The 12,196-nt window shown below is 37.8% G+C and overlaps 1 long non-coding RNA gene across 1 annotated transcript; it reads left to right on the top strand.

Moving 5' to 3' along the window:
* Positions 1-4,671: 4,671 nt before the first annotated feature.
* On the top strand, positions 4,672-11,398 carry LOC124903183 (uncharacterized). Its single transcript, XR_007063826.1, has 2 exons — positions 4,672-5,385; positions 6,476-11,398. It is a non-coding gene; the product is annotated as an uncharacterized LOC124903183 (long non-coding RNA).
* The last annotated feature ends 798 nt before the right edge of the window (positions 11,399-12,196 follow it).

Raw genomic sequence — 12,196 nt, 5'->3', positions numbered from 1 at the left:
GGATCCAGTTTCAGCTTTCTACATATGGCTAGCCAGTTTTCCCAGCACCATTTATTAAATAGGGAATCCTTTCCCCATTTCTTGTTTTTGTCAGGTTTGTCAAAGATCAGATGGTTGTAGATGATTGGTATTATTTCTGAGGGCTCTATTTCTGTTTTGGTATCAGTCTATATTTCTGTTTTGGTATCAGTACCATGCTGTTTTGGTTACTGTAGCCCTATAGTATAGTTTGAAGTCAGGTAGTGTGATGCCTCCAACTTTGTTATTTTGGCTTAGGATTGACTTGGCAATGCAGGCTCTTTTTTGGTTCCATATGAACTTGAAAGTAGTTTTTTCCAATTCTGTGAAGAAAGTCATTGGTAGCTTGATGGGGATGGCATTGAATCTATAAATTACCTTGGGCAGTATGGCCATTTTCACGATATTGATTCTTCCTATCCATGAGCATGGAATGTTCTTCCATTTATTTGTGTCCTCTTTTATTTCATTGAGCAGTGGTTTGTAGTTCTCCTTGAAGAGGTCCTTTACCTCCCTTGTAAGTTGGATTCCTAGGTATTTTATTCTCTTTGAAGCAATTGTGAATGGGAGTTCACTCATGATTTGGCTCTCTGTTTGTCTGTTATTGGTGTATAAGAATGCTTGTGATTTTTGCACATTGATTTTGTATCCTGAGACTTCGCTGAAGTTGCTTATTAGCTTAAGGAGATTTTGGGCTGAGACGGTGGGGTTTTCTAGATATACAGTCATGTCATATGCAAACAGGGAGACAATTTGACTTCCTCTTTTCCTAATTGAATACCATTTATTTCTTTCTCCTGCCTGATTGCCCTGGCCAGAACTTCCAAAACTATGCTGAATAGGAGTGGGAAACACTCATATTTGTCCCATTGTTGTTAAGCATTTGTTCAGGGGTAACATAAGAGTGCATCTAGCTGCTGTGGGGCTGTAGACCTATACCTATACTGGTTTCTGCGTCTAGATCTACTGACAGAATGCATTCCTCCTTATTATGCTACTTTTGCTTCTGAGAAAGGACATTTGTATGGAAACTGGTGAACAAATGGAGAAATGTGACTGCCGGCATACACTGAAATTCTAAGTTTCTCAATTACTCTGGGTGGCAGAGGAAGGTCTTAACACATCTTCAAGGGGCACCGTATTTCTTGGGGTAATTCCTCCATTCCTTGGAGGTACTAAAAATTAACCACATGTGTTAGCTACTATAATTGACTATAGCTGAGACTCACTGGAGAAATAGGGAAAGAAAGAGGTCATTAGAGCTGTTATTTTCCTGTATTGAATGATCTACACTGCTATTTTTGAGTTCTCAAGTTTGATAGTGAACAGCTGAACTGGGTTAGGTTGGCAATGCTAAGGAAAGGGGGGAACAAGCTCTTTAGTTTCCACAAGACCATCACAAACATCAAACATACAGCCAAGCCTACTTGGCTTATTAAACATGTCTTTTATTGGGCCAAATAAAATGTTGAATTAGATGATCTCCCAAAATATCTAGGAATTCTAGGATGTCTTTATTCCAGACAACTGCCCTTAGAACTGAGAGCAGCTCTTGAAAGACTTTTCTCAGGCTTGACCTGGATGAAAAGCTGCCACAGAGAATTAAGATCTCAGACCAGAAGGGTGTGGTAAGGTTAAAAAAATGCTACCTAGTCATGTTAGTATTCATCCAGGAAAACAATACAGCAGTCCCTTCATTAATTTCTGAAAGATTTTTAGTACATACTGCTGGCCAGATAGCACTGAAAGACATTAAACTTTGCTAAGAGTATCTGGGAGGACATCTCCCTCCCATCATCTTCTGAGAATGAAGGAACGTGGAGGTCCAGCTCTGGAATATCTATGACTTGTGGAGCTGAATGACATTCATCTCTTTGAAGTCTTTGCAATCTTGGGTTTTAGGCTTTAAAGGGAAGAATACCTGGCTTGACTGAATTGTAGGCACCAGGAGATGTTGTGGTTGCCTTGTGATTTGAGGGCAAGCTCCATGTCTAACACCTCCTCAAAGGTAGGGTGTTGTATTTAGTATACATGTGATCACCTCTGGAGTGATTGATGGAAAAATTATTATCTAGTGAAATATAGCATAGACCTTGAGGAAGTCTGAGAGGTAAGTGACAGATGATCCCAGGCTATTGGCTTTGTTTTTTATGGGACTATGTAAGGAGATTCCAGAGGGTGGTTGATTCTCCCCAGAGGAAGGAATTCTTTCATCAGAGTTTACTCACGGGAGATGGCCTTGACAGGCAGCTGAGACCCGCACCAGGGCCTGGTTCTCTAAGTTGCCTAATCCCTCAGAGTCCATCAGTGCCTTCTAGTAGAGGCATGATACCTCTCTTGTTAATCCCATGGCTGAGAGGTGAAATGCAGTGGGGCTGCAGTGCAGGGGTCAGCTCATCTGCCCCTCCTTCCAGGTAGAGTTTCTGTTGGGAGGATAGGTACCTGCAGAGTGACCTGTCACCAAATGCATGTATAGCCATCTGGCCCGGTTGATCCTACTTACTGGGGCCAATTTGATATGGACTCAATTGGATGTAGTTTAGATTAAGAATATGTTAATGTGTTCAACTGGGCCTCTATCTTTGGATCAAAACTTTAGTTGAAAAAAACTGGGAAGAAAGTGGGAGAATGAAACAATGGGAAGCTTAGAATCTCATGGGCATTCCACAATTAACACTTCCTTGAAGACTTCTTTGAATGGGATTGTAAGAGTTAGTGTGTTTCTTACCATCCAGCTTCCGGGTGATGGGACACCAGCAGCTTGATCAACCAGCAGTCTCCATTAATTCATCCCACTTTTATGGAAAGTAATCTGTTTTTCTGCACAGGGATAAGGCTAAGTGCAAACCGATAGGCTTCAGGGAACTCTGTGTCCCCTGACAGATGTGGGGCTAAAATTTGATGTATTTGGATGACCCACGAACATAGTTTAGTGTCTATACAAGGAGAAACACATTAAGAGGAAAGAGTTCAGTGGAATCATAGCATGGTTGTGTGGGATGGGGAGAAGTAACCACAGTGGCTCTGGAAAGAATATTTGCAAATGCAGAGCTAGTACTCTCTCATGGTTACCAGCAGCTAGACTAATCAGTGTCAGGGGTGGGCATTTGACTTACGTGAACAGAGAGCACAATGTGCTGTGTCTTCTTATGGAAGCCGTGCTACTCTGTGGGAGCAGTGACAGGAAGGCTTTGGTTTGTAGTTCTGATGGGGGGACGCTGGAAGGCCCAATTCAGAAGTTGTGCCCTGGATGGTGTTGAATTACAAATGTGAAATATCAAGCCCAAACCAGCTGTCATCTTAAGGTCATTGATTTAAGGATGGAGAGAAGGAGCCAAGTAGGGAGACAATATGGAAGTAGAGAAATCAAGAAGGTGAGGCTTTGCGTAGTGGAGTAAAGGAACAGAAAGGTCTTTGGAATTGTCCTAGAAAGAGCCAGATAGTAGAGGATTTTGGCTTTGAGGCTGTACAGTCTCTGTCCCAAGTTGTGGCACAAAAGCAGCCACAGACAATATGCAAATAAATGGCCTTGGCCGTGTTACAATAAAATATTACAAAAATTGGAGGGGGATTGGATTGATCCCACAGGCCACAATTTGCTGAACCCTGTTTTGACATAGTATGCCAAAGTGCAAACAGCTGGGGGGGGCTTCTAAATAGGTCCTTCATTGGTTTGCATGGCCACTTTGGTTTATATAAAGGGCACTGAGAGGGATCTGTTGGGTGGCACGTCATGCCTGTTTCTTTTTTTTTTTTTTTGAGACTGAGTCTTGCTCTGTTTCCCAGGCTGGAGTGCAGTGGTGTGATCTCGGCTCACTGCAACCTCCACCTACTGGGTTCAGGTGATTCTCCTGCCTCAGCCTCCTGAGTAGCTGGGATTACAGGTGCACGCCAGCAGGCCTGGCTAATTTTTGTATTTTTGGTAGAGATGGGGTTTCACCATATTGGTCAGGCTGGTCGCAAACTCCTGACCTCGTGATCAGCCCGCTTTGGCCTCCCAAAGTGCTGGGATTACAGGCATGAACCACAGTGCCCAGCCCATGCTTGTTTCTTTATTGACTTTATTTTAGGTTTTAGTATCTTTCATGATGCTAATGAGAGCAGAAGATTTTAAGAAATGACAACTGATGGTCAATGTTAAGTATAAAATTCTTTCTGTATTTAAATTCTCTTAGAAGAAGTATGACAACTTGTGTAAGAGGGTAAAACATGTTTAAAATAACTTCATTTGTTTTAATTTTAGAAGAAATAACTGATTTTTTTCCTTTAGACATTTCCCTCTTTTCCAAAAAGTGGGAAATAAACCATGCACTTCTGATGAAAAGGAACACATTAGTCTTTACTTTAGTTTTTTGGGATTTTTACTAGCAGTAGCCATTAGGTACATTCTTGACAAGTGATATAGACACAGGCTACCAACTCCTACAATTTCTAAGGGAAAATGTCTTCCTGCAAGCTCAGCCAAAGGGCAAAATTGTCATATTTTGGATGTATGACACCTTTCAAATATTTGGATCAGGGTTAGACAATTGACTAAAGTGACTGTATGAGTTTTCCAGAACTGCTATAAGAAAGGTCTATAAACTACATTGCTTAAGACAAACAACAGAAATATATTTCTTCTCTGTTCTGGAGACTAGAGGTACACAGGTAAGGTGCTGGCAGGAAGTCTTTGAGAATCCTTCCTTACATCTTCCCCAAGCATTCTTTGGCTTGTGGATGTGTGACTCCAGTCTCTGCCTCTGTCTTCCCACAGCCATCTTCCCTCTGTGCCGGTGTCTAAATTTCTGGCTTCTTGTAAGGATACCCGTCATAATGGATTAAGGGTCCACCCTAATGACCTCATCTTAACTCAATTACATCAGCAAAGATCCTATTTTCAAATAAGGTTGCATTCACAGGTATTGGGGGTTAGGACTTCATATGTTTTTGTGGCACAGAATTCATTTGATAATACTGACCAAATATGTATGAATCAAGACTAGACATAAAAGAATGAATTGAGCTAACCACATTCCTTGTCTTGGGAATCTGAATCGAAAACAAAAAAGGAATTCTCTTTTTGAAGGGATGTTATAGATCGGGACCGTGGCTATCCAAAGCTATGTGCAAATTGAAATTATAAGGAAGCAGAAAAGCTATGAAGAGGTGGAGAGAGGAAAAGAGAGATATACACAGAAATGGAGCTGAAGAAAGGCAAATGAAAAGAGAAAGAAGAGTTTGCACAGTACCTCAGTTCTTCAACTGAGCATCCTTATATTCAACTTCCTTTTCCCCCAGAGGAGATAACTGCAGTGGCTTTTTATTACTTGAAAACAAAAGAACAAAACCCTAACAAGTGGTTCCTGGTCCAGAAGACTCAGGAAGGTAGGTTTAAGTAGAGAGGTGAGAAAAGGGAAAAGAAGCAATCAGGGAACAGAAACTGCCAACTCCTTTATTTCCTATTTTGTTTCTGTTTTGCTGCTAGTCTTGGCTCTCTGCCATGCATTCTCATAGGCAACATTTCTTGGTAAAATCACATTGACCTTCAAATCCAGCTAGTGCAAAGACTAAGGAAAAGTGCTTATTAATACTACATTTCTTTATTAAGTCATGCATCTTTCATTCTCCTGGGCTTAGTTAGACCAATAAATAAATAGAGTAAGTACACACACACATACACACAGACACACACAGACACACACACAAACACAGACACACACAGATACATGCACATTCTGTCTTTTTGCTTCTCAAATTTACTCTTCAGGCTTGACTAAAATTTCCCTTTCAATTTGTATAATATGAATTTTGTCAGGTCAATAAAAGACAAGGTGGTATAAAAACCAAATTTTACACATCTCCTAATATACATGCCAACAACTTTTATATGGGAAACATTGTCTCAGATGTGCCCTAGACTTGCTATTTAGAGTAGAGAACGCAGCTTCAGGCTCAGGACATACTCTTCCCTGCAACTGGAGACTGATGTCACTCCTAAAGTATCTGCAGACATTAATTATTAAGTTCTATATTAATATCAGTGGTAATAATATTTTCAACACTCTTGTACAATATTCCGTAGAGATAGCAAAATAAATTGCATGTAGCCTCAGCATGTGGCTAAATATTTAATATCTAATGGCCAAGAATGTGGCTCTAATATTTGTTATATTAAAGTTTTCTATATCAAACTCCAGAAAACCTAAACGAAATAGGAATAATTTTAGTTCTCTTTAATGCATTTGCTTTTTGGCACCTTTAAACCTACTCATAAGTGGGAAACATCTTTTTATCTTAAGAGTTTTCAAGACGGAACTTTTCACCCTTGTTCTCTGAAGATAATATTTTTATTCTGGTTTGTGACATTCATCTTAAAGTAGCAGGGCCAAGCTGAATTGTAAAATGTGATTGCTACTTTTAACTTTGCCAAGCAATTTCTAACCAAATGTTTTTATCTCTCAATATTTAACAACAGCTACTTCAGGTGGAAGAGTGTTCCATTTCATTGAGAAGCCTTTTACCAATTGCCAGAGTTTCTTTTATGTGAACCTTGACATATCTCACTAGCTTGGTTGTAAAAATTTTTACAATCATGTTATCTGTCAGCATCTGAGAATGATGCATGAACATTGTCAAGCAGAAGATACATCTTGGAGAACAAACTATATTATGCAGTTGCCTGGCACATTTAAAGCAGAAGTGCTTTATTTTAACTCAAGAAAGAGAGTTTATGTGTTTGATAAATCTGAATTATGTGATAAAAATTCTAATACTGTGAGTAGTTGTCTCTCATATTCTTGAAAAATTTACTTTAATTAGACATTATCACATAAGAAAAAACCAAATACAGAATCATATGACTGAAGTCAATAGAAAATTAGTATGCCAGTATTTGTCTTCCTCTTTATAATTTTTTATTCCCTATAAATCTGGGTTTTCATGTATTGTTATGTTATCATTTATTAATTTCAACTTTATCCTTGTGTTTAAAAGTAAAGAAACCAATTGCACAATAAAGCTCATACTTTTCTTTCAGTTTTAAAAGAAAGAGATGGGAAATAAAAACTAGGTTGTGGTAATTACCATTGAAGAAACCCTTTCAGTTGTTTTATTTTTTGTGCAGATTTGATGTTATTGTATTATGAAGGAAGGAATAATTACTGTATAATTAAATTTGCTCTCTCAGGTGCCACTGTCAATTTATTTTGTCTTATATTTTTAAAAGTTGGCAGACGATATATCCAGTGCTTGCTTTTGGAAAACCAAGCTTGGATCATAAATCTAGTACTAAACCTTTCATTGCAGAACTCAAGCGCTCTAAGCTTTTTTGTTATTTTCCTTTTATTTTGGGGAAAAAACTGATCTCTAATAAACAGATGAGCCCAGATTCTGAAAGCAGACTATCTTATTTCAAATCTTGGCTCTACCGCTTATTAGCTTTATGACCATGGGTAAAGGTATGTAATCTGTCTTTATTTTGGTTTCCTCATGTGTAAAATGAAATAGTAATGTTATGTTTCCCATAGGGTTAAAAGAATGCCTGGTATAAGTTGGTGTTATGTAAGTGTTTGCTCTTTCTATATTTCATGATGAATAGACAACCTGTTTCTCATGGCAAATGTTTGATCATGTACACTTACCTGGTAAGCTCATCTGTCATCTGTTCCCCACAGAGACACTCTGTTGCACAACACAGAATATAATGTGAATGACACCACCTGGGACAGAGCACTGTGCTCTGCATGAATGATGTCTTCTCGTGTTGTGTTATTTTTAGGCCCTGATCCATCTGCTTCTGTTTTATACCTATCATAGAAGACCATGAAGCATTTTGCAGAACTTCCTAATTATAGTCAGAAGAGGAATTTACTGTGCATTCTAGAAAAGGAGAGAAAAAAATCTTCCATTGTAGAAGAAAATTAATGAAATAAATGTATCTATAGTGATGTGACCAAATTGGCCTGAGCAATTTAGCCCATTGCATATTCTGTAATTCATCTAAAATAGAGATATTATTCTGGGGAGACCTCAGGACTATAGTTTGTGCTGCTCAGGTGAGGTAAAGCGTGCATAGGAATTGGTATTATGAAATGTTTTGGTTCCATTATCACCACAGTGTTTCCACTGGGTGTTCACCAGTGGATGTTGCTTTCAGAAGTGTGTCTTTTATAGGGTAAAAAGGCATAAGATATTTTCTTATTCTATAATTTAGGACTTTGACTATGTGCTCCAGAGTAATGAAGTCAGTCATGGTATTAGCATTTCAGAGCTCACCCATGGACACCAATACTCAAGAGACACTGATACTCAGTTGGACTAAATTCAAAGAAACTCTTTGAACTTTAAGTATGGGAATTTGTGTTTATTTTTGTGTTTCAAAACGATAACCACCTGCTGCTTTGCCAGATTCTTGTTTCTTCCAGTCAAAATAATATAGCTCTTAAAAGTTCATTTTCTCAACTAAGAAGCACAATATTAGAAGAAAATGTTCTTTTCTATTTCTTTAATTTCTATTTGTTCCTCAAGTTGATCACCAAATCCTGAGGGTAAAGAAATTTACTTCAATCATCATATATATAGCATGAGGCACATTTAGGAATCTTGTAGTCCATAATCCAATCACATCCTCCTTTTCTGGCCAAAAAAAAAAAAAGACTGTTGTCAATTGTACAGAGAAGACATCTGAAATTTCCTTTTTATAACTTCACATTAGTAACAATCATTTGCAGAAACAGTGTTCAAAAGATGAAGTGCTTCTCCATATTTCCTCAAATAATTATGAAATTACTATGTGCAAATGTTTATAAAGGCTTTAATTAGCACCTTAAGATTTCACATAGAGACCTGTAAATACATGATAGATTGAAATTTGAAAAGTATTTTTTTGAAATGCTTCCCATGCAGAATATTTTTAATTAAGGTCTAACACCTCATTCTGACTACTTTAATTCTAGGAACTTCTGTAACCCTATATCCTAGTTTTGACTATTTCTTTCTGCCTACAATCTTCTTATTGACCATTTTTCCAACTACCTTACTCTTCATTTGCTTGTCATTTCTGTCACTGACCATGGCTTATCCCTGTGATTCTGATTTCTTTTTTCTTGCCATTCATTTCAACAACACTTTAAAATACCTAATGTTCTCGACTTGCTGCCATATTTTCCCATTAAATCATGAATTAATTTTGTTCCACAACCTAAATATTCAATATTTTTTGCTCTCGGATTGCCAGAGAAAGTCAAGCTGATTAGGTGCTCCAAAAATGTATGGCTTGTAATGTTTTATGGGTTCTCAGCATACCCTGCAAGTTAGTTGCTATGGTTGTTGGTCATGTTCCTCATAGCTGCCATTCCAAAAATTGTTTCTCTATCTTCAGACCTGGAAACCCATTCACAGATCCAGATCTTTCTTTCATCCTCACTAAGATGAGTAAAACCATTGGCAAAAACAAACAAAAAGCCCAATTGATTTCCCAACTCATATTCCCTCAGGTATTTCCCATCTTACATTTTCTCTGTATTTTTCCTGTCATCTTATTCTTTGTTCTCATACATTCTTAATTATTTTTTATTATACTTTAAGTTCTGGGATACATGTGCAGAACATGCAGGTTTGTTACATAGGTATATACATGCCGTAGTGGTTTGCTGCACCCACCAACCCGTCATCTACATTAGGTATTTCTCCAATGCTATCCCTCCCCTAGACCCCACCCCCGATAGGCCTCAGTGTGTGATGTTCCCCTCCCTGTGTCCCTGTGTTCTCATTGTTCAACTCCCACTTATGAATGAGAACATGCAGTGTTTGGTTTTCTGTTCTTCTGTTAGTTTGCTGAGAATGATGGTTTCCAGCTTCATCCATGTCCCTGCAAAGGACATGAACTCATTCATTTTTATGGCTGCATAGTATCCCATTGTGTATATGTGCCACATTTTCTTTATCCAGTCAATCATTGGTGGGCATTTGGATTGGTTCCAAGTCTTTGCTATTGTGAACAGTGCCACAATGAACACATGTGTGCATATGTCTTTATAGTAGAATGATTTATCCTTTGGGTATATACCCAGTAATGGGATTGCTGAGTCAAATGGTGTTTCTGGTTTTAGATCCTTGAGGAATCTCCACACTGTCTTCCACAATGGTTGAACTAATTTACACTCCCACCAACAGTGTAAAAGCGTTCCTATTTCTCCACATTCTCTCCAGCATCCGTTGTTTCCTGACTTTTTAATGATCACCATCCTAACTGGCGTGAGATGTCATCTCATTGTGGTTTTGATTTGCATTTCTCTAATGACCAGTGATGATCTTTTTTTCATATGTTTGTCAGCCACATAAATTTCTTCTTTTGAGAAGTGTCTGTTCATATCCTTCACCCACTTTTTGATGGGATTTTTTTTTTTCTTGTAAATTTAAATTCCTTGTAGATTCTGGATATTAACCCTTTGTCAGGTAGATAGATTGCAAAATTTTTCTCCCATTCTGTAGGTTGCCTGTTCACTCTGATGATAGTTTCTTTTGCTGTGCAGAAGCTCTGTAGTTTAATTAGATCCCATTTGTCAGTTTTGGCTTTTGTTGCCATTGCTTTTGGTGTTTTAGGCTTGAAGTCTTTTCCTATCCCTGTGTCCTGAATGGTATTGCCCAGGTTTTCTTCTAGGGTTTTTATGGTTTTATGTCTTACGTTTAAGTGTTTAATCCATCTCGAGTTAATTTTTGTATAAGCTGTAAGGAAGGGGTCCAATTTCAGTTTTCTGCATATGGCTAGCCATTTTCCCAACACCATTGATTAAATAGGGAATCCATTCCCCATTGCTTGTTTTTGTCAGGTTTGTCAAAGATCAGATGGTTGTAGATGTGTGGTGTTATTTCTGAGGCCTCTGTTCTGTTCCATTGTTCTGTACATCTGTTTTGGTACCAGTACCATGCTGTTTTGGTTACTGTAGCCTTGTAGTATAGTTTGAAGTCAGGTAGTGTGATGCCTCCAACTTTGTTCTTTTTGCGTAGGATTGTCTTGGCTATGTGGGCTCTTTTTTGGTTCCATATGAAATCTAAAGTAGTTTTTGAACTGTATGGTAGTTGGAAGTGCTCCTTGCAATGTTTGCTTTGCAAATATTTACTCATTGATTTAACCTACTACCATTATCAACTGCTGTCACTAACTGCTTCACCAAAACTTGGTTAAATAAATAATTATCTTAAGGGAACAACAGATACCACAGTCTACTTGAGGGTGGAGATTGTGAGGAAAGAGAAGATAAAAAAATTACCTACTGGGCACTATGCTTATTACTTGGGTGATGAAATAATCTGTATACCAAACCCCTGTGCTACACAATTTGGCTCTGTAACAAACCTGAATATGTATCCTGAACCTAAAATAAAAGTTAAAAAGAAATAACTGTCTTACTTGTTTTTATTAATCTATTTTAAGTGTATATACAGTTCACATTTATTACAATGTTTAATATTAGAAGCATATTGAGTCTCTATAAAGTTTGGTGATGTTTTTGTGATCAGAAATATGCTGTAAGAACGTAACTCTTGTTGATATCAATTAGCCTATGGTAAAATAGGTTTTGTTATACACACTTTTACTTAAAGTTGTAGTTTTCAAGAGCCTCCTGAGGATGTTAAGTGAGGACTTACTGTATGTTTAAGTGCTTATTATCTATCTCTACAAACAAGAATATAAACCCTTTAAGGCCAGGGACTTTCTCTGACCGGTGCCTCACATTATCCCCTTTATATCTTGGCTGGTGCAGAGTTGGTGCTCATAATTATTCATTGGCTGACTATGTAATCACCTAATTTAATAGCTCCTCCTCAAACCTTATTCTCCTTTAATTTTCAGACACTCTGACAATGATTTTATTTAATGTTAATGATATTGATTCAGTCTATTCTTTGGTATCATCTTTGTTATCTTTCATTTCCACCACCATATCCTCTCAGCCACCAATTTCTTGCTCTGCAAACTTTCAGACATATTTTCTACTCCATTTTCATGTCACCATTTTTTTTTTCTCAATAGAGAATTATTTATTATGTGCAAAACAGCACAATGAAAACATCCCCAACAACACATAAACCTATATATAAAATATAGAATATCTCCAATATTTTTACTTTGTATGGCAGCACGCCAATATATGCAAGAGAACATATTGATGGGGCAGGGGGAAAAACTGATCCG

The sequence above is a fragment of the Homo sapiens genome, chromosome 13 (genome assembly GCF_000001405.40).
Source record: "Homo sapiens chromosome 13, GRCh38.p14 Primary Assembly".
Lineage (NCBI taxonomy): Eukaryota > Metazoa > Chordata > Mammalia > Primates > Hominidae > Homo > Homo sapiens.
The sequence above is the reverse complement of the archived record's forward strand: the minus strand, read 5'-3'. Positions and strand labels throughout refer to the sequence as shown.